General features: G+C 40.7%; 1 protein-coding gene across 2 annotated transcripts in view, besides 2 other annotated features; it reads left to right on the forward strand.

Annotated features, from left to right (window-relative positions):
* Positions 1-23,889, forward strand: part of MKLN1 (muskelin 1) — a 386,539-nt gene that overhangs the window by 44,822 nt on the left and 317,828 nt on the right. The gene's annotated exons all lie outside the window — the stretch shown is intronic.
* Positions 8,934-10,133: an enhancer, noted in NCBI's record as "MED14-independent group 3 enhancer chr7:130848608-130849807 (GRCh37/hg19 assembly coordinates)". NCBI's record gives its function as "activates an origin of replication core promoter dependent on BRD2, BRD4, P300/CBP and CDK7 cofactors, and independent of MED14, by STARR-seq in HCT116 cells {active_cell/tissue: HCT116}" and the evidence as "EXISTENCE:reporter gene assay evidence [ECO:0000049][PMID:35650434]".
* Positions 19,421-19,621: a silencer, noted in NCBI's record as "peak6722 fragment used in MPRA reporter construct". NCBI's record gives its function as "represses an SCP1 promoter by STARR-seq MPRAs in K562 erythroleukemia cells {active_cell/tissue: K562}" and the evidence as "EXISTENCE:reporter gene assay evidence [ECO:0000049][PMID:32103011]".

Raw genomic sequence — 23,889 nt, forward strand, 5'->3', positions numbered from 1 at the left:
TACCAGGTTACATGGTAAGTGGCAGTGGGGGAGAGAGTGACTGATTCACTGCATTAATAGTTATAGACATTTTAGACATTTACACTGACATAGTTCTGCCAATCTATGTCAGGTAGAACTGTGCCTTTTTTGTTTTTCCCTTTTTGATGTTCTTATAGAGAAATTTAAAAAATCAATAATACCATATGGAAAAATTACACTGCTGTAACATTTTCATATTTACATTAATAACTGTATATTTGGCTCCTTAAAAGTCCTACTTATTTGCCCTTTATATCTCAAGAAAATCCTGCGAAGTGCTCCTTTACTTGTACAATTTTATGTGTATATGGAAGAGCTATTTCATCACCAAGCTATTCTGCATTTGAAACGAAGGAGGAAATAGTTTATCCCTCCATGAAGTGGTATTGACAGGAAGCAATCCACAAAGATTAGAATGGGCTTGTCAAACTTAATGTATTCCTTATAATTAATGCACTGAATTATAAATCCTTTAGTTGTAAACATACATATATCGTGAATGTATTAAGATCTGAATTTTTATATCTTTTTGGTAATTTTGGCAGCTATCTTTGAAATTCCTGGGATTTTTTATTGTAACCTTACCTTCACAGAACTCATTATATGTGAAACTTTATTTTCCAAACATAGTTTAGGAAATTAACTAACTTTGTAAACACTATTTTACATGTACCTTCTATATACAACTGAACCATGATTATGAAAGAAAAAAAAAGTAGATTATAGGCAAAATCATAGACTGTTACAGCTAGAGCGATCTTAAAGATCGTCTGGCCTAACCCCTTCATTTTATACTTTAGAAAACGAAGACAAAGGGCAGTTATGTAACTTCATTAAAGTCATACAGCTACTTTGTGAGAGTGTGACAAAAACCCAAACTGATATGGTACAGTGTCTCCTTTCCACGTCGCTTCTCAGAGTTAGCAAAAGTTGAAGGCAATACGCAAAACCAAAAATAATTGTCGTGTTAGGGAAATGGGATTTGGCGTGTCTACCTTCAAAATTTGATTATGTCACTTTTTTGATAAAAATTCTATAGAGAATGGATCAACAACTACATTATAAAATTAGGTAAAAGAGCACCTTTGTTATTTGGGAAGCTAGAAATAAATTATGGGTTTTCCAATACTTAGCAGGGATTTGTAGCAATCAAAATGCAGACAATCAGTGACTTGTTAGGGATGCAAAAGTCATTGCGGGTTTTGCTATTATTTTAATAGCAAAAAATGCAATTATTTTTGCATCAACCTAATACAATAGTTTATCATGATTTTTTGACTTTACAATGGTGTGAAAGTGACAAGTATTCGACCAGGCGCGGTGGCTCACTCCTGTAATCCCAGCACTTTGGGAGGCCAAGGCAGGTGGATCACGAGGTCAGGAGATCGAGACCATCCTGGCAAACACGGTGAAACCCCGTCTCTACTAAAAAATACAAAAAATTAGCCGGGCGTGGAGGCGAGATCGCGCCACTGCACTCCAGCCTGGGTGACAGAGCAAGACTCTGTCTCAAAAAAAAAAAAAAAAAAAAAAAGAAAAGTGACAGGCATTCAGCAGGAACCATATGTCAAATTTGGAATCTTCATCTTTTCCTGGGCTAGCGATGTGCAGATACTACTCTCTCGTGAAGCTGGGCCAAATCACCTAACGCAAAGCCCATTTTATAATAAAGTGTTGAATTTCTCATGTAATTTACTGACTACTGTATTGCAAGTGTTCTGAACATGTTTCAGGTAGGCTCTGCTAAGCCGCGATGTGCAGTAGGTTAAGTGTATTACATGCTTTTTTGACTTTTGTTATTTTCAACCTACGATGGGTTTATCAGGACATAACCCCATTGTAAGTTGAGGAGCACCTGTACACAGCATCTGAGTGCTTCATGTATGTATTCATAGGCACTGTTTTAAGTACTTTGTTTGCATTATCTTGATGAGTTCTAACCATAATCTCAAGGACAGAGAGAGTGTGTGACTTGCCCCCAGGTAATCTTAAGAATGTCAGACTCAAGATTTGAACCTAGGCAGTCACAGACACAGTGGGTTATTTGAAGTTTCAAGCCTCAACTGTCATTGTCGCCGCTACTGAGGGTTGCTGTGGTTGTCTAACTCCCCCCAGCTGTCTTCCTACAGGATCAAATGTTCTACTTGAGAAATTCTTACATAGCCAGGCATGATGGCTTACGCCTGTAATCCCAGCACTTTGGGATGCTGAGGCAGGCAGATCACTTGAAGCCAGGAGTTCAAAACCAGTCCGGGCAACATGGTGAAGCCCTGTCTCTACAAAAAATACAAAAAATAAAATAAAATAAAAATGTAGCTGGGTGTGGCAGTGTGTGCCTATAGTCCCAGCTACTTGGGATGCTGAGGTGGGAGGATCACCTGAACCCAGGAGGTCAAGGCTGCAGTGAGCCATGTTCACAATACTGCACTCCAGCCCGGCTGACAGAGAGAGACACTGTCTTAAAAATAAAAAAATTCCTTAGAGCAAAAATTTTTAGAGACAGTCTGCCTTCACCTGCCACTTGCTATATGATTTTTCATTCCTCATCTGTAACATAGGTGTGATATCTACCTCATAGAATTGTTGGAGGACTAAATGAGAGAAATCGTATCCATTTTTTGGTGGAATAGCTGACACACAGTTATCATCAGCTATGGTCATCATTATTAGTATTATTAATATCATCACCAACATTATCATTATTGTTTCTTTCTCTCCTTTTGACCTCTTTTTTCATGCAAAAGCTCCTGAAAAGGATAATACATTACCCGAGAAGCTGGTGACTCATCAGTTGTTTTTTTCCTAACAGAAGAGAGCAGAGAGGTATTAAGGCAGAAGGAAAGAAAGAGGTAGAGAGACCTCAAAGACAACTTAGAGCAGAGTTTTACCCCAAATTAGTTGGGATACATTTACAAAACAGTTCATTTGGAGTCTAGTCTCGTATTTGGCATCTGTAATCTTTATTGGGTTTCCGGAGCCTATTAAGGAATGAGCAAGGGCACTGCTAGCAGTGGTGACAGACCTTCTGTCCCTGCCCGAGGAATCCCGTCCACTGTGGCCACCTGCCTATCCATGCTGCAGTGGGAAGTGGGCAACAATCCTCCGCAAGCTCTTCTGTTTACTGTGCCTGGAAACGGGCGTTTTGCCATGGAAAAATTTCTCATTGTACCCGTAAGTACAGAACACATATTGCACAATACGAAAGATCTTATTGAGACTTCTTGTTAGGCCAGGCGCTCAAGCCTGTAATCCCAGCACTTGGGGAGGCTGAGGCAGGCGGATCACCTGACGTCAGGAGTTCAAAACTAGCCTGGCCAAGAAGGCAAAACCCTGTCTCTACTAAAAATATAAAAAAATCAGCTGGGCATGGTGGCAAAGTCCCAGCTATTCTGGAGGCTGAGGCAGGAGAATCACTTGAACCTGGGAGGCAGATGTTGCAGTGAGCTGAGGTCACGCCATTGCACTCCAGCCTGGGCTACAGAGTGAAACTCCATCTCAAACAAACAAACAAACAAACAAACTTCTTATTAACCTGTGTACATACTGTGCTTCAAGAGTAGGACTGAGTGCCATTCCTGAGGTGTCATTCCACTCTTTACTCAGGGGTTAAAAGTCTAAAGGTGACCCGCAGTCACATCCTCACTTTTTTCTCTAGATCACACACTTTCCACTGATGCCTAAAGTCTTACTGTTTAATGCCACCAGCTTCTCCCTCAGGTCAAGTATTCTTATTTTCTGTATTTCATTTTTCACTTTTCACCTTTATGAAAAGGACTGAGCACATGGTAGAATAGAAAATGGTGCAAAAACTGTTCAGTGAAAGGTGCATCTCATTTCCATCCAGGCTGCCCAGTGCCATTGGCCAGAATTGCCAACCATTTGTTCATTCACTCAGAAAGTGTGATGGGGTGCATTGTCTGTGCTAGCCACTGTTTGGGGTGCTTGGAATCTAGCAGCATACAAATAGATTAGATCCCTGCCTTCTAGTAGGGGTTGATGGGCTACAAGCAACATATATGAGCAAGTTATTATAGGGTAGGTTAGAAAGTGATGAATGCAGCCTGGGCAACATGGTGAAACCTTGTCTCTACAAAAAAATTTAAAAAAAAATTAGCTGGGTGTGGTGGCACACCTGTAGTCCTAGCTACTAGGGAGGCTGAAGTGAGAGGATCGCCTGAGCCCGGAGGTGGAGGTTGCAGTAAGCCGAGATCGTGCCACTGCACTTCAGCCTGGACAACAGAGAGACCCTGTCTCAAAAAGAAAAAAAGAAAAAGAAAGTGACTAATGCTATGGACAGAAATAAGCAAGGGTGGGGGACAGGCTGATCAGGTTCACTTATGAAATATCTATCACACAAGCTAAGTGTCCATCAACAGATGAATGGATAAAGAAAATGTGGATACACACACACACACACAGACACACACATACAATGGACTATTATTCAGCCATTTAAAAAATGAAATCATGTCATTTGCAGCAACATGGATGGAACTGGAGGTCATTTTGTTAAGTGAAATAAGCCAGGCACAGTGAGACAAATATCAAATGTTCTCACTCATATCTGAGAGCTAAAAATGTGGATCTCATGGAGGTGGAGAGTAGGATGGTGGTTACCAGAGGCTGGGAAGGGAAGGGGGAGTGGGGGAGGAAGGGATGTTGGCTAATGGGTACAAACATAGAATTAGATAGTAGAAATAAATTATAGTATTCAGCAGTACAGTAGGGAAATTAAAGTTGACTATAATTTATTATATATTTCAAAATAGCTATCAGGTTTCAAAATATCACATGTACCCCAACAATATGTACGACTATTATATATCAATTTTCTTAAAGTCATAAACATTATAATGGGAAAAAAAATAGTATATACCACTGGCCAGAAATTCTCCTGAGCACTTTACATATGTTAACTATCTGAATCCTCATAACAAGCCCAGGCACTCTTATCATCGTCATTGTAAAGGGAAACTGAGGCACAGAAGAGGTAGGAACATGGCTCAAAGTCACAAAGCGAATGAGTAATGAGACCTGGGCTTTCACACAGGCTGCCTGGCTCCAGAGCCCGAGCCTAGCTCCAGAACACTTCCGTCATCCTAGAAAAAAAAAACTCCCATGCCTGGTAGAGTCACTCTCAATTCTCTCCTAACCACAGACCCTGGCAACCACTTATCTGCTTTCTGGCTCTATGGATTTGCCTAATGTAAATATTCATATAAATGGAATCATGTAATATGTGGCCTTTTGTGACTGGCTTCTTTCACTGAGCATAATGTTTTCAAGGTTCATCCATATTGTATCAGTCCTTCATTCCTTGTTGTGGCTGAAAAAGATTCCATTGTATGAATATACCACATGCTGTTTATCCATTCATCAGCTCTTGGGCATTTGGGTGGTTTCCATTTCTTGGCTATTGTAAATAATGCTGCTGTGTACCTTTGTGTACAAGCTTTTGTGGAAATGTACATTTTATAATTTTCTTGGGTACATACCTAGGAGAATTATTCAGTTGTAAGGGAACTCTATGTTTAACTTATTTTATTATTATTATTAATTATTATTATTATTATTATTATTATTATTATTATTATTATTTTGAGACAGGGTCTCACTCTGTCACTCAGGCTAGAGTGCAGTGGTGCGATCTTGGCTTACTGCAACCTCTGCCTCCCAGGCTTAGCCTATTCTCCCACCTCAGCCTCCTGAGTAGCTGGGACTATAGGCATGTGCCACCACACTGTGCTTTTTTTTTTTTTTTTTTGGCATTTTTTGTAGAGACAGGGTTTCACCAGGTTGACCAGTCTGGTCTCAAACTCCTAAGCTCAAGCAATCCACCTGTCTCAGCCTCCCAAAGTCCTGGTATTACAGGCATGAGCCACCGCACCTGGCCCTATGTTTAATTTAACAAATCAACTTTTGATCACATGTATTACTTAGCTAAGCCTCTCTACTCAGAAGGGGAGAAGTATAGGAGCAAGTGGTTGCTTTAGCAAATGTCCTATCCTGTCCTATCAATATGATGGTGTCTCCTTCTTGGGGTTTCATAAGTCAGTACCCTGAAGGTCATTGACACTCCATGTGTGTATTTTCTATGCAGAACCCCCACGGAGGCCACTTTTGGTCGCCTTCTCCATACAATAGATGGGGAGTGACCATAAGGAAGTACCCCTTAAAGTAACTAAAGAGCTCAAGCTTGAGCAGTGGAACCTCTCCAGGTACTTCTAAGAGCAGGACAGACAGGGTCAGTCTAGAGAAGTGAATGCTTTGAGAAGATTACACAGTCCTCTAACAATAACATCCATGATGATTTTGTAGAATTCTCTATGCCTAGCATAATGCTAAATGAGTCACAGCCTTTTTCCTAGACTTGCACTCTCCGGTATGGTAGCCACGGGTCACATGTGGCTATCAAGCGCTTGAAATATGGTTAGTCTGAATTAAGGTATGCTATACAGGTTGAGTATCCCTAATCTAAAAATTCAAAATATAAAATGCTCCAAAATCCAAAACTTTTTGAGGACTATGATGCTACAAGTGGCATTGTTGGTGGTGACAAAGCCTGCTGTTCTCTGCTATTGCTGCTGTTTAGCAAGTGATACAGGTATTCTTTTTTTATTTTTTATTTTTTTTGAGACGGAGTCTCGCTCTGTCGCCCAGGCTGGAGTGCAGTGGTGCGATCTCGGCTCACTGCAAGCTCCGCCTTCCGGGTTCAGGCCATTCTCCTGCCTCAGCCTCCCGAGTAGCTGGGACTACAGGCGCCCGCCACCACGCCCAGCTAATTTTTTGTATTTTTAGTAGGGACGGGGTTTCACCGTGGTCTCGATCTCCTGACCTCGTGATCCGCCCGCCTCGGCCTCCCAAAGTGCTGGGATTACAGGCGTGAGCCACAATGCCTGGCCGTGACACAGGTATTCTAAGGGATGCTGCTGTGCTGATTAGTAACTCTGAACACATTGTTTTTTTCACTATTTTAATAGTATGTTATATATACATATATACACATATATATACGTGTGTGTGTGTGTATATATATATATATATATATATATATATATATATATGTAACAGAGTGATATACAAATATATATATATATATACACACACACACATATATATATGTATATCACTCTGTTACCTAGGCCGGAGTGCAGTGGCACGATCTAGGCTCACTGCAACCTCCGCCTCCTGAGTTCAAGCGATCCTCCTGGGTTCAAGCAGTTCTCCTGCCTCAGCCTCTGGAGTAGCTGGAATTACAGGCGTGCACCACCAAGCCCGGCTAATTTTTGTATTTTTAGTAGAGACGGGGTTTCATCATGTTGGCCAGGCTGGTCTCGAACTCCTGGCCTCAAGTGATTCAGCCACCTGGACCTCTCAAAATGCTGGAATTATAGGAATGAACCAACACGCTCATGGTGTGTTATATTTTTTACTGTTAAGTACTTATGTCTAAATAAACGTGAGAAAATGATTGCTTATCAGTAGCACATAAATGAGCGTCAGGAATGATGTTGCCAAACAAGCACAGATTGTCCCATGGGTGGTTGAGATAGTGACACCTTTGGTTTCTGATCATTCGATTGATAAAAACTTTGTTTCATGCACAAAATTATTAACAGTATTATATAAAATTACCTTCAGGCCATGTGTATAATATGTATATGAAACACACATGATTTTTGAATTTAGACTTGGGTCTTATTCCCGAGATATCTCATTTATGTATATGCAGATATTCCAAAATCTGAAATCCGAAATACTTGTGGTCCCAAGCATTTCGAATAAGAGATGCTCAACCTGTACGTGTGAAATACACATTGGACTTCGAAAACTTAGTGCAAAAAACAGAATGTAAAATACTCATGAACATTTTTTACATGTTGAAATGATATTTTGGACATGAGTTAAGTAAAATATAGCACTAAAATTAATTTTGCCTATTTCTTTTTACTTTTCTTAATGGGCTACTAGAAAATGTTAAATCACACATGTGGCTCACATTGTGGCTTCCATTATGTTTCTATTGGACAGCACTGGTTCTAGACAAGTCCTCACAGTTATCTTATCAGCTGGATGGTATTATCATCCTTCTATTATGGGTGAGGAAATTGAAGCTTAGAGCGCTTAAGTCAATTACCTATGATCATACAGCTGTGGCTTAAGCGCAACTCTGTCTCCAATTCTGAATTCTTACCCATTGCTCTAGGCTGTCTCCCCATAGTCCAGAAATGTAACCCAAGTGATAGAAAAATGGTTAGGATCATTAGCTGTGGCAAAAGGCTGTTTTCATATCTTCATTGTAGAGCACAGGAAAAATGGTCTATGAAGTTCTGTAAAGTAGAATTTAGGGTGCAGTTGGAGGAAATTGCCTATGAGAAAGTTTCTTAAATACTAACTCCTGTTTGTAATGGTTCGGGGCTCACCCACTGAGGATCGAAGGTAGAAGGAACTATTTCAGAGCTTGCTTTCATTTCTACGATTCTATCACAATTGACATTAGATTCACAGGTCAGCCTCTGCTGTAACATTCAGATTGAGATGGAGTAGACTGAGATGAATGAGTGCTTCATTTTCATCCCTTTTCCCTGTAAAGTGGAGGGTTTTAATTTCATCCCATTTCATTCGAATTTGTGAAAACCTCAATAGGACATTCTTCACAGCAATCCTGCCCTCTTCTAAGTTTCAGTGGAGAGGAGAGACAAAACTGTCAAGGAGAGAAACCATTCTCTGAAATATTAAGCCATTCTCTAAAATATTAAACCATTCTCTAAAATATATATTTTAACTTGGTAAAATCTTCTTTTTCCTAAGGGCATCAGTGTTCTTCGCTCACAAGTAACTCTCGTGTGTATATCATTAATGCTAACGATTACTAGTTGTTAAATGCTATGACAATTTTATTTGCATTTTACATATATTATACTTGTATATAACATGTATCACGGGTATAATTTACTTTTTAAACTTCAAATACCGAAGAGGATGCCCAGTTTAGAACAGTAGCTCCTTGGGCTATTTTTCCAAGTTGGGAAGGCAGGGGGAGGATTGGAATAATTGCAAATTAAGCTTTGCCACAGGGCCTCGTTCCCAAATGTTTAAACCCTCTCATATTATTAGGGGCTAAAAATGTTGCTAAGAGCTTTTAAACAGAAAAATAGACTTACTTGCTTTGTTTTTGTTTTTGTTTTTTCTTGAGACAGGGTCTCACTCTGTCACTGAGGCTGGAGTGCAGTGGCAAGATCTAAGCTCACTGCAACCTCTGCTCCTTGGGCTCAAGCAACCCTCCCAACTCAGCTTCCTGAGTAGCTGGGACTACAGGCACACACCACCATGCCTAGCTAATTTTTGTATCTTTTTTGGTAGAGATGTGGTCTCACTATGTTAGCCAGGCTGGTCTCAAAACCTTGATCTCAAGCAATCTGCCTGCCTTGGCCTCCCAAAGTACTAGGATTACAGGTGTGTGCTGCCACACCCGGCCACTTATTTGTTTTTTATTTCTTCCCCCAGACTACAACTTTATAGCTTACCAAGAAACATGGCAACTGGACTCCTATAAGATTAATGCAAGCCAAAAATCAAGCCCTAAGAAGCTAAAACGTTTCTAGACATATATGTGCCATTTTTTTTGTTGTTTGTTTCTATTTTATTTTTTATTCAGGATCAGATTTTTAGTGCCCCTTCATTAGGTTCACTTTGGCTTAAATAGCTACATGGAAAATACATTCCAGCATTTGTTTTTTGTTTAGTCACTCTTCCATAAAATTCCTTAGCGGTTTCAAATGTCATTCAGATGAGATGACAATGAATCATAGAAGGAAGACAGAGAGAGAATGGTATTGGGAAAGGGATAGGGAGCTGGGAATCAGATGACCTGAATTCTAGTTCTGTTGCAAGAACAAATTGGCAACAAGGCCCTGGAGAATTCAAGTCCACAAACCTTTCTTGGAAACCTACTATGTTCAAGGCATTGAAATAAGTGCTGTAGGAGCAACAACGATGAACAAGACACGGATCCTCAAGGAGCTTATCACCTGGCAGGAAGGAAAGTATATTCACAAAATGATAGTATAATGTGGTACAGAATGTGTGAGTAGTGGAATAGAACTTATGGGGCACAGAAGAAAAAAAACATCATTCCAGCCAGGGAGAGTGGGGATGGCTTCATGAAGAAAGTGATATTTGGGATCCCGGAAGTGTGGGTAGGATTTCTGGGTGGGGCTTTGAGGGAAGGGTGTTTTCGTTGTTGTTGTTTTCTTTTGCTTTTTTGAGACAGAGTTTCACTCTTGTTGCCCAGGCTGGAGTGTAATGGCGCGATCTCTGCTCACTGCAACCTCTGCCTCCCAGGTTCAAGCGATTTTCCTGCCTCAGCCTCCTGAGTAGCTGGGATTACAGGCACGCGATACCATGCCTGGCTAATTTTTTGTATTTTTAATAGAAACAGAATTTCACCATGTTGGCCAGGCTGGTCTCGAACTCCTGACCTTGTGATCTGCCCGCCTCGGCCTTCCAAAGTGCTAGGATTACAGGCGTGAGCCACCACGCCCGGCCCAAGGGAAGAGTGTTTTACACAGAAGGTGTAGGGAAGTGGAGACGATGTAAGCAAAAATGTACAGTAATAAAGTACAGAGCTGGTTCAAGGAACTTGTTAGGAAGGCACAGTTAATTCTGAATAAAACAATGGGAGATAAGTTTTGAGCACTAGATTAAGATCAAATTGTGGTAGGGCTTGAATTCCAGTCTGAAGAATTTAGACCTTTTGAGTGGTGAAGAGCAGGGAGACAAATAAGATAACACGAGTGATCAGCTTTGCTAGGAAGATTGTTCTAGCGGCACCGGGTGGTACGAGGGTGAGCAGAAAGGTAGAAGGCCGGGAGATGAGTTAGAAAACGGTTATGGGGCTAGGCACGGTAGCTCATGCCTGTAATCCCAGCACTTTGGGAGGCCAAGGCAGTCAGATCGCTTGAGCCCAGGAATTCGAGACTAGCCGGGGCAACATGGCGAAACCCCATCTCTACAAAAAATACAAATGTTAGCTGAGAGTGGCAGTGTGCACCTGTGGTTCCGGCTGTGCAGGAGGCTGAGATGGGAGGACTGCTTGAACCTGGGAGGTCGAGGCTGCAATGAGCTGTGATCATGCCCATGCACTCCAGCCTGGGAGACTCTGTTTCAAAAAAAAAAGAAAATGATTATGGTAGGCTTTTGGCGGTAGGAATGGACAGAGAAGGCAAATGCAAGAGACATTCCAGAGGGAGTATTGACAGAGCTTGGCGACAATTGGTTTTGGGATGTAAAAGATTACTATGGTTTTGAGCATTGGTGAGTCAGAGGATGGAGATGCTGAGACTGTAGGAGGTTTGCCGGGAAAGATGCTGAGTTTGATTTCGAGCACATTTAGCCCATTCCGAACACACTGGCTAACGTAATCATATAAAACACAGGCCAATTCCCAAATCCCCTCTGCTCAAAACCCTTCAATGCCTTCTCATCTTACTCAGAGTAAAAGAAACATCCTTACAATGGCTGATAAAGCCTTCAATGGCCTGGCTGCCCACATTGCCTCTGAGCTCATCTCCTTCCTTACCCGCTTCTCGCTGGGCACTGCCACCCTGGCCTTCTTGCTGTTCCCCAAACATTGCCCGACATGGGTCTGTCTTAGGGCCTTTCTTAGTGTTTTCTCTGCCTGAAACCCTCTTTCCTCGGGCAGTTCTTACACCTTAATCCCTCACTTCTTTTGGCTCTTATTCAAATATGTTTTGTTTTGTTTTTGAGACAGAGTTTCGCTCTTGTTGCCCAGGCTGGAGTGCAGTGGCACGATCTCGGCTCACTGCAACCTCCGTCTCCTGGGTTCAAGTGACTCTCCTGCCTCAGCCTCCCCAATAGCTGGGATTACAGGTGCCCACCACCATGCTGGGCTACTTTTTGTATTTTTAGTAGAGACAGGATGGGATTTTACCATGTTGGCCAGGCTGATCTCAAACTCTTGACCTCAGGTGATCTGCCTGCCATGGCCTCCCAAAATGCTGGGATTACAGGTGTGAGCCACTGCGTCCGGCCTAAGTATCATCTTTTTAGAAAGGCCTTTCCTGATCATCCTGTACAGAACAGCAACACTTCCCCCGCCACATCCCCTCTCTCCAGTTTCCTCTTCCCCATTGTACTGATCAGCATCTGACATACTATTTGTTTACTTGCTTATATCACAACCTGGAAACTGAAGCTGTAAAAAAAAAAAATTAATGAAATGATCCACTGTTTTCAAGGGTATGATGAGGTTTGCTACCTCATGAGTACACCATTACACCATTCTTGGGACTGGGCATTGTTATAATCCCTTTGAAAAGCAATTTGGCAGTAAGTATAAAGAGTCATAAAATGTCCATCTCCTGCAACGTTTTATGTTTTGAAAATTCTGAAAGTCAATTCTAAGAAGATAATCTAAAATGTGGAAAAGAAGGCCAGGTATGGTGGCTTATGCCTGTAATCCCAGCACTTTGGGAGGCTGAGGCAGGAGGATTGCCTGAGCCTAGGAGTTCAAGACCAGCCTAGGGCAACATGGTGAGACTCTGTCTCTATAAAATATAAAAAATTAACCAGGTATGATGGCACATATCTGTGGTCGCAGCTACTCAGGAGGCTGAGGTGAGAGGATCACCTGAGCCTGGGAGGTTGAGGCTGCAGTGAGCTGTTATGGGACCACTGCACTCCAGCCTGGGCAACAGAGCAAGACTCTGTCTCAAAAAAAAAAAAAAATAATGTGGAAAAGAAAACACACAGAAAAATGTATACTAATGTGATATTTATGATATCAAGAAATTGGAAAGATTCTAAACATCTAACAATATACAGAGATAGTTAAATTAAGTAAATTACTGTTCATTTACTTAATGATATATTATTCACTTGTTAAAAGGATAGTTATGAAAGGCTGGTTAGCAACAAGGAAAATGCTATGAGACAATGTTATACTTAAAATAACAGGATCCACAACTGTATACAGTGTGATTTCACGTATCTTTAAATATACACCTGAAAAAGGACTAGGAGGAAATTAACCCAAATGCTGATATTAAATGAATTAGGCTAATGGAATTATTGGTGACTTATTTTTCCTAAATCTTTTCAGTTTTCTGTATTTAGGTTATATCCTTTCTGTAATGTGCTATTTAATTTTTTATAATAATCATTTTTTAAAATACTCAAAAGAAACTGCTGTTACAACTAACTCACCACCATCTAGATGGCATTGTTGGGTATCAGTGGTAAGTGTGAGTCTCCAGGCTGTGGCTTCTACTTTTAGTTCTGAGGATCCTGACATCAATGGCTGGCCCTACAGCTCATTAGCCTCCCATGCCTCATTCCTCCGCTTTCTCACTCCTGACTCCTTCCTCTTTGCCACTCTTCCTGTATAATTTTAGGCTGTGTCTGCCTGATTATGAAGGACACAATTATGAAACAATAAAGGCTTTAAAAAAAAGCCACACAACTTGCCCCCATGCACCTTGACAATCTTTATGCATGGATTGAGGCTAAGCCACCATATTAATGTCCCCCTCTATTTTTCTCATCCTAGCTACCCCTGTCCCCACTGGTAGACATTAAGGATTCCCACTTTGCTGTTCTCTGTAGCGCTTACCACCACCTGACATATTATGTATTTACTTATTTATTATAATATCATGGCTGAGAAACTGAAGTGACTTAAAAAGGAAAAGAATTAATTCAATGTCTACCTACTAAGTGCCAGTTAAGCCTTTATGTATATTTTCTTTATGTATATTTTCTTTATGTATATTACCTCATTTTACCCTTGCAAGCCAGCAAAATAAGTATTACGTTTTAGTGATAAGAAAACTGAGGCTTAGAAAGGTTAAATAATTTGTCCAAGTTCACTTATGTAGGAAGTTACCAAATTGAAATTTAAATCGTTGTTTTCTTTTTTTTTTTTTTTTGAGATAGCATCTAGCTCTTCCACCTAGGCTGGAGGGCAGTGGTGCAATCTTGGCTCACCGCAACCTCCACCTCCTGGGTTCAAGCAATTCGTGTGCCTTAACCTCCCCAGTAGCTGGGATTACAGGCACCCACCACCACGCCTGGCTAATATTTGTATTTTTAGTAAGACGGGTTTCACCCTATTGGCCAGGCTGGTCTCCAACTCATGACCTCAGTGATCTGCCCTCCTTGGCCTCCCAAAGTGCTGGGATTACAGGTGTGAGCCACCTCGCCCGGCCAGCCACCGTGTCTGGCTGAAACCCTCATTTTCTCATCTAAAGTCCTATGTCCTTAGCCAATACACTAACAAACACACATCAATTATTAAGATAGCCTAAGTTAACTTATTATATAGGCATTGCCTAAGTGAACAATTGAATAACAGAATAATTCAATCTGAAACTCGTAATCAATTGATGCCCCAAATATCGTTGTATCTGAGTTAACCAGCTCATTGCTTCAGATTTTTTCTGCAATGTCTACAGTGTCTCGATAACTATTTGAGACCACAAAATTAACAGTTTGACTGTTAATTTTAACTACTTTGATTATCTGCAGTATTCTAAGTATTTATTTAGTAACTAAAACTAATTTTATCTGCTTTGATTAATGGCCTCTTTTGAAGGATCTGGAAGCTCTTTTTTGAGACAATAGAAAATTTTTTGATAAAGCAAAATTCTTAATTAAGTTAGATCCTTTCAACTGGTTAGTTAGACTTACGAATTGAGATTATTAATAGCAGACATGTAAGATGTCAAAAGGAATGTATTATCTAGTTAGGACTAATAGGATTTTAGAGAAAATTTTTCACAAGAAGAGATTTTTCCATTTAATAACTCATTTATTTTCAAGCAATAGTCTGTTGAATAAAGATTCTAAGCAAATTCACTGTAATGGGGATGAAGGAATTAAATAGAATTTCCCAAGAAATATTGTTCATAATGTTCACCATTATTACAGCTCAACGGTGTTCTTGTATGCCTGCTTTGGCTAAAGTCTCACATAGAAAACCCTTTCACCTAGGCATGGTGGTTGACACCTGTAATCCTAACTACTTGGGAGACTGAGGTGGGAGGATCGCTTGAGCCCAGGAGTTTGAGGCTATAGTGAGCTACGATCATGCCACTGCACTGTTGGATAACACAGCAGACCCTATCTTTATGAAAGAAAGAGAGAGGGAGAGAGAGAGCGAGCCATTGTAGCTGCTGACATAGACTTGAGGAGTCATAACATGATCACCCTCATCATAGCTAACAATTTTGAGAATTTACTGTGAGCCAGCCTTCACTGCATACTGCACTAAATTATCTCATTTTAATGCTCAAAATTCTATAAAGTAGGCACAAATGTTATACTCATTTTTAGATAAAGAAACTGAGGCATAGAAAGATTAAGTAACTTGTTCAAGGGACAGCATTTAACATAAAACACGGATATGTTATATTGGCTGTTTTGCCTTCTCTGTGATGCTGAGAAAATAACATTTTTTGAAGGAATTTCAAGTTCGACTTTACAGCTTTAATTTAAAAGGAAAAATGAAAGGCCTTTTGAATTGCTGTGGCTGTTATACCAGTGACTAATTCCATTGGAAAGCTGGTTCAGTGAGAGCTGAAATTTTAAAAGTCTGAAACATCTGAGAGAGTGGGTTCCCCTTGGCTAGTTGGTGCTTCCCTCACAACCTTTTCCCACATCAGCCTGTGCTGTAAACCTCCCTTTCACTCTGTGATGATTTCATCTCTGAGGGTTTGTAACTCATGGAGCTGTCCTTGGTCTGACAGGTCAGAGAAGAAAAGTTTTTGCCTGGGGTCTCTGGCTTCTCACAAAGTTGCTGCACTTCTCAACTGATTTATATTAATAGAAATCCACAAACCCACCATGTACAACAGATTGAGAGAATTCTTAGGAGAGTGCATGAAAACGCTGAAGTACTTCATCATAGTACATTTTAATTTTTCCCTGCATTGGAGCAGAGCTTTCCCATCTTAGATCAGGAAATGGGAAACCTAAAGTTCACTTACTCAATAAAATCAGGCTGGAGACCCATTTTGGGCAGTTCTAAATGCTGCAAAAGATCAAGATAACATTCCTCCCCTCAAAGATTTTACATGTCAGTGATAAGACACACATAAAAAAGTTAAACAACCCGACATCATAAAGAGATGAATCAGAAGCCAATAGGGTTCCAAGGATACCAAGTGTTTGAAATCCAAGGCAGGGTTACAGGGAGGAGGTCATTGGATGCTGAAATGGTGAGGGAGGTTTCTGGGGAGAGAGAGGAAACTTAATATAGGTCTTGAAGAGGAGAAAGCTAGCCACAGGACAGAGTGTATACTGTAACCCCACTTACCTAAAAATGAAGCAAAACAAAAACTGTATAGGTTTATTAAATGCAGTGAAAAAGAGTCGGAAGGATAACTAGCAAATTGGAAGAAGGGCAATACAGTTGGCAGGTGGGAGAGGGGAAGGGCTAGAATTAATAGGGACTTTCAGTTTTTACTGTATGTATACTTCTTTATTATTGTTTAAATATTTTTCTTTCTTTTTTTTTTGGGATCGTGTTTCGCTTTTGTAGCCAAGGCTGGAGTGCAATGGTGCGTTCTCAGCTCACTGCAACCTCTGCCTCATGGGTTCAAGCGATTTCCTGCCTCAGCCTCCCAAGTAGCTGGGATTACAGGCATCCACCACCATGGCCAGCTAACTTTTTGTATTTTTGGTGGAGACAGGGTTTCACCATGTTGGCCAGGCTGATCTCGAACTCCTGACCTCAGGTGATCCACCCACCTCGGCCTCCCAAAGTGCTGGGATTACAGGCATGAGCCACCTCGCCTAGCCTGTTTGAATATTTTTCTAATGAGGATATACTCATACATTGTTTGGTATAATTAAGAAATACAACATTGACAAAGAACAGATAGAACTTGGGTTTGTAGAGCAAAAGAAAGAGGATATTTTAGTTGAGAAGAACAGCTTAAGTACATGCCTGAAGTTGGAAATGTCCAGGGTGTATTTTGGGCAACAATGAGGAGACCAGTGGGACCAGCACAGAAGGGACATAGTAGCAGGTAGATTGGGGCCAGGTGGAGAAGAGCTGTTAATGAAGACCTAGTGTGAGCCTTTCACCTTCCACCAAAGCAATGAAGAGCCTTCGAAGAGTTGATCTGGAGTCCATTAATCTGTCCACACAAGAATTTATTTATTTATTTATTTTTATTTTATTTTATATATACTTTTTTGAGATGGAGTCTCGCTCTGTCGCCCAGGCTGGAGGGCAGTGACACGAACTCGGCTCACTGCAAGCTCTGACTCCGGGGTTCAGGCCAGTCTCCTATCTCAGCCTCCCAAGTAACTGGGACTACAGGCGCCTGCCACAACACCAGGCTAATTTTTGTATTTTTTTTTTTTCTTTTTGAGATGGAGTCTCGCTCTGTCACCCAGGCTCGAGTGCAGTGGCGTGATCTCGGCTCACTGGAAGCTCCACCTTCTGGGTTCACGCCATTCTCCTGCCTCAGCCTCCCAAGTAGCTGGGACTACAGGCACCCGCCACCACGCCCGGCTAATTTTTTGTATTTTTAGTAGAGACAGGGTTTCACCATGTTAGCCAGGATGGTCTCAATCTCCTGACCTCGTGATCCACCTGCCTCGGCCTCCCAAAGTGCTAGGATTACAGGCGTGAGCCACCGTGCCGGCCAAGAATTAATTTATTGATGAGCATACCTGAAAACCTAGCAAAGTTAGATAATAGAAATTGAAATCTACCTTTCTTGTACACCATGAAAAGCCACGGAACTGTCTCCTATAGTAACTGCAGCAAGAAAGGTTCTGATGTATACAAACCTGATGTTGGACTTTTCAAGAAACACTGAAAATAGAAATGCTGTCAGATGCAACTGGGGAACAACCACTTATACTTGATCCATAGTATTAATTCCACTGTAAATCTCTGTGTAATGCTTGATAGCTATGATGAATGACTTAAATGTAGTAGAGAGATTTTGATCCCCAGCATATGAGAAATGACTGAGTCAAATTTGTAGAAGTTGATTAAAAATTACTTGATTTAAACAAATGAAAATCAGGTGGATTCTGTAACATGATATTTGCATTAGTGAATATGTGTTTTCCTTGAATGAATTGACAAAAATCAATATTTTCTTTAAACTTGCATTTATAACACTATTCAAATACTTATGTATACATCATATTTTGTATATACAAACACACACACACACACACACACACACATTCATACAACAGACATAATAAAGCAAAAATCTGTAGCTATCTGGGAGTGACGAAGTACCTGACGTACAAGCCCATCTTGAAGGAAATATTAAATCTAATAAGGGAAAAACACTACAGATAGTTGAACCTTGAGTCAGTCATGCATTCTGACTCATGTGAAATGATTGGATTCTGGGTGAGATGAATTTTTTTATTGACAACAAGTGGAAGAGGGACATATCGGAGTCCTAGAATGATAATGCAAATTAGCTTTATAAAAACATAGTCTTGGCCGGGCGTGGTGGCTCACGCCCATAATCCTAGCACTTTGGGAGGCCAAGGTGGGTAGATCACCTGAGGTCAGGAGTTTGAGACGAGCTTGGCCAACTTAGTGAAACCCCATTTCTACTGAAAATACAAAAATTAGCCTGGCGTGGTCATGCATGCCTGCAATTCCAGCTACTCAGGAGGCTGAGGCAGGAGAATTGCTTGAACCCAGGAGGTGGAGGTTGCAGTGAGTTGAGATCGTGCCATTGCATTCCAACCTGGGTCATAGAGCAAGATTCCATCTCAAACAAACAAAAACACACACACAGAGAAACATAGTTTTCAGCTGACTCGGTGCTGCTCCACGAGGAGCAGCTTAAAAAAACAAAAACAGCCTTCTCCTGTAGGAGCTGAATTAAAAAAACAAATCAAAACAAAACAACAAAACAACATAGTCTTCATTTACTACAGATTTTCTTGTAACCAGAAGTACTGACAAATTGAATTGAGTTTTCAGTTTTCACTTTGCTTCTCCAGAGTTTAAAGACCTTTTTCTTTTTCTTTTTTTTTTTTTTTTGAGACGGGAGTCTCGGTCTGTCACCCAGGCTGGACTGCAGTGGCACGATTCGGCTCACTGCAAGCTCTGCCTCCCGGGTTCACGCCATTCTCCCGCCTCAGCCTCCCGAGTAGCTGGGACTACAGGTGCCCGCCACCGCACCCGGCTAATTTTTTGTATTTTTAGTAGAGACGGGGTTTCACTGTGTTAACCAAGATGGTCTCGATCTCCTGACCTCGTGATCTGACCGCCTCGGCCTCCCAAAGTGCTGGGATTACAGGCGTGAGCCACCGCGCCCCACCCTTTAAAGACTTTTGATGCTCATTTATCCCTCACTCCACCGTTTCCTTTTCATTCCACAATATGTGTCTTTTTTCAGAGACACAGATGGCACTCTTAATCGGAAAAACTGAACTTTCTTGCCTGGTGATGGGAAAACAATAGCGGGGACAAGAAAGGTTTTAAAAGCCTTCGAAAGTTCCTTGGAAAGGGAGATTCCTGATTTCATATGTTGCATTTTCCTCAGAACCCGTTTTCTCTTCTTAATCCTTCTTTATCCTACAAAATTACTTTGTGGTATCTCTTCCCGACATGAGGTGAGGGCAGCACAAGGCATCTGACCTCCACATGTTGGGAGAAGGCAGGAATGCAAGATGATCCTGTGCCTGACGTGATTAAACAGACTCACACACATTTTACAATAACCAATTTTGGAATAAAAAATGATCCTTTAAGAAAAATCTCCTGATTGTTTTAATATAGTTCTCAGTACCAATCTTGATGAGAATTGATAATTCAAACCAGTAAATATTTACTGCTACCTGCCAAGTTGAATTAAAAAAATTCATTTGGTTCTAACAATATTGTACTCTTGAGTAGAGTTATAGAACAAGAGCAAGTACAGACTAAGTTTCCAGTACAATTCAGACAGGGCAAGTCTGTTCTCTCCTCCCCACTTGTCTCCCTCCCTGATAACTGGTAGATGATAGATAGATAGATAGATAGATAGATAGATAGATAGATAGATAGATAGATAGATAGGGTGGGTATATAGATAGGCAGATGGATGGATGGATGGATGGATGGATGGATGGATGGATGGATGGATGGGGAGACAGAGAGATAGGGTGGGTGGATGGATGGATGGGTGGATAGATGGATAGGGTGGATGGATGGGTGGATGGATAGATAGATAGATTAGATTAGATAGATAGACAGATAGATAGATAGATAGATAGAATGGATGGATAGAGAGAGAGAGATAGAATGGATGGATGGATAGATAGATAGATAGATAGAGTAGGTGGAAGAAACTTCTTCCTGATTTTGTTGTTCTCCCACATATGAAAAGATGGAGCTTCTGTGACTGACAATAGCTTAAGCAAAGACAGGGAAATAATATTTATGAGTGCAGAAGTTAGTCAGGTCATTCTAAGTAGAAAGATGACAGCCAATTTTGTAATCCCACAACATTTTTTAAAAGAGAGGAAGGATTAGGTATTGGTGAAGAATTGATACCCTAAAATAATGCTAAGAAAAAATAGGAACATCTAGAGAGTTAGGAAAGATTTTGGACACCCAAATAACTACCCTCCATTTCTTTATTTGTACATCAACATGTTTGAGATTAAACATACAAAAATACAAATAGGCCGGGCCCAGTGGCTCATGCCTGTAATCCCAGCACTTTGGGAGGCCAAGGCAAGCGGATCACAAGGTCAGGAGTTTGAGAGCAGCCTGGCCAATATGGTGAAACCCCGTCTCTACTAAAAATACAAAATTTAGCTGGGTGTGGTGGCACACGCCTGTAGTCCCAGCTACTTGGGAGGCTGAGGCAGGAGAATTGCTTGAACCCGGGAGGTGGAGGTTGCGGTGAGCCAAGATTGCACCATTGCACTCCAGCCTGGGTGACAGAGTGAGACTCCACTCAAAAAAAAACCAAAAAACAAATATTACTCTGATGATGCTATTACATATCTCCAAAAGCAAACGAACAAATACCCCATTTACTCCCAGTTGACATTGATTATTTTATCCCTGGTTTGTGACCTAAAATGAATTGAGGAACTTACTATATTCAGTTCATTTCTGCCTTCCCTCTAAGTTCAGGGATAAACTTCAAAGTTTATTATTTTTATTAAAGTTTATTTTATCAAAACATTGAATATTTGTAATTTGTAACATATCCTATATATTTTTAATTTATACGAAATAATAATTTCCTAAAATATGCAATTAATGGTATTCTTAACAGATTCACATATTTGTATATATTGAAGTACTAATTTATGGAAATCTATCTTTCCTTTATGTATTTTTAAGTTTTTCATGTGCTTTAATATTTTGATTTTGTGATACTAAAAATATTTTATTTTGTGGGTTTTTAAAAAGATTTATATTATTGCTTTCCTTTTTTTAACCAACAGCTAAATTTGGAAGTTCTATCTTACGTCTCAAATGATCCTTGTTGGTACAAAAAGTGTATCTTTTGGGGAGCTATAAAGATTTCTTGTCTTTTAAGCCTCATTTACAAAGTTTTTGTCAATTGTTTTATACTGACTTTCTCATTAGCTTGCCAGCAATAAGCAAAAATAAAGCTAGGACTGTGTCAAAAATATTCACTGGCCCACATTCATCCTTCTTCAGCAGGTTTACTCCATAGTGTTCCCCATTCAGCTACTGTGCTGGCCAATGGAAACAGCGAGTCGTTGTCTGAAATGAAGAATAATTGGAAACATGGTGCCTGTTTCTTTTCCTGCAAATAACAATTCATCCATTTAACATTCTTTTGGTGCTCTTGAATTCTGTAGTAGACAGCCTTGTGTTCACTGTTCAGTTGAGGCCCATTCGAGAAAAGCTAACCTTCTAGCCTGCTGTTGACCCTCCAATGGGAAACAGTGACAGCCATCAATGGCTTCTACATAGAGCTAGTGACATGTGGCACTAGCAGCTTCATATAGGTAAATGGGCCTCAGGCTGGAAAATGCTAGGCTGGGAGGGATGGTAATAATGATAAAAGATTAAAATTCTGGCTATGATGATCTCCACTTTCCAAAGAAACAAAGCCCAGAAAGGTTAAGTAACTTGCACAAGGTCATTTTGCCAGCAAGCTGTAGAACAGACTGTTTCCAGCATCTTTCTTTTGTACCCTACACAATCTTTTATGGCCACATATGTGATTGATTTTGTAAATGTTCCATACACATATAAAAAGATTGGGCAGGGCGCAGTGGCTCATGCCTGTAATCCCAGCACTTTGGGAGGTCAAGGAGGGTGGATCACGAGGTCAGGAGTTCGAGACCAGCCAGGCCAATAGTGAAACCCCGTCTCTACTGAAAATACAAAAAAATTAGCCAGACGTGGTGGCGCGTGCCTGTAGTCCCAGGTACTCAGGAGGCTGAGGCAGAAGAATCGCTTGAACCTGGGATTGCGGAGGTTGCAGTGAGCCAAGATTGTGCCACTGGACTCCAGCCTGGGTGACAGAGCGAGACTCCATCTCAAAAAAAAAAAAAAAAAGATTGCATATTCCCTTTTTGCAAGGTATATATATGTGGTTTTTATGCTATTTACTAATCACATACACTCTTATATATGTGTATATAATAAGCCTCTGATGATATCATTATAGTTGTCTATATTCTTGCTTGTTTTTGACTTCATGTTCCATCAAATTCTGAAAGGGATGTATTAAAATCTACCACTATGGTTATAATTTCATCAAATGCTCCTTGTCTTTTGATTTTTATTTTGCACTGTTTTTAAGTGCATAATAGCTGATAACTTGTATATCTTTGTCACATTTCTATTCATATCACAGGCAATTGGGCTGGCTGCATAAATGCACACATCATAGTGGCTTAAATACATGAAGCTGTATTTGTCTCATATAAAAGATGTTTGGAGGTAGGAAGTCCAGGACTGGTATAGTAGCTCTATGGTAATCTGGAATGCAAGCTGCTTCTGTCTTCCTACTCTGTCACCTTTAGTGTGTGGTACCCATATTTCAAGTCATGGTTGCAAGATGGCTCCTGCAGCTCTAGCCATCACATACATATTCCAGACAGGAAGGAGGAAAAAGAGTAAAAATGAGTAATCCAGGTGAGTTAGATTTCAGCAGGCCCCATCCACTAACTTCTGCTTACAACTTACTGTTTTTTGGTTTTTGAGACGGAGTTTCGCTTTTGTCACCCAGGCTGAAGTGCAATGGCGTTATCTCGGCTCATTGCAGCCTCTGCCTTCTGGGTTCAAGCGATTCTCCTGCCTCAGCCTCTTGAGTAGCTGCGATTACAGGCGCCTGCCACATGCCCGGCTTTTTTTTTTTTTTTTTTTTTTTTTTTTTGTATTTTTAGTAGAGACGGGGTTTTGCCACGTTGGCCAGGCTGGTCTTGAACTCCTGACCTCAGGTGATCCACCTGCCTCGGCCTCCCAAAGTGCTGGGATTACAGGCATGAGCCACCTACAACTTATTGTCTATCCCTAAGTACAAAAGGAGATGGAAAAATTAACTTAAAAAAAAATCTGGACACACTGCTGCTCCAAATTAAATTGAAGTTTTGTTAGCAAGGATGAAGAGGAATGGACATTGTGTAAGCATCTAGCAATCTTTGCCACAGTCTGTTCAATCGTTCCAGACTCTTGTTCCTATTTAATGCTTCTGGCCTTGAATTTGCTCATATTGGCACTCCTGCTTTTGTTTATTTTGTTTTGCTTTTTTCCTTTTTTGTTGTTATTTTTGGCAATCAGCTTTCTCAGGTTAAACACTCCTGCTTTTGGAGTTCCCTGACATATATCTGCCCAGTCATTTATTTGCAAACTTTCATAGTCACTTTCTTAGA

The sequence above is a fragment of the Homo sapiens genome, chromosome 7, assembly GCF_000001405.40.
Source record: "Homo sapiens chromosome 7, GRCh38.p14 Primary Assembly".
Taxonomy (NCBI): domain Eukaryota; kingdom Metazoa; phylum Chordata; class Mammalia; order Primates; family Hominidae; genus Homo; species Homo sapiens.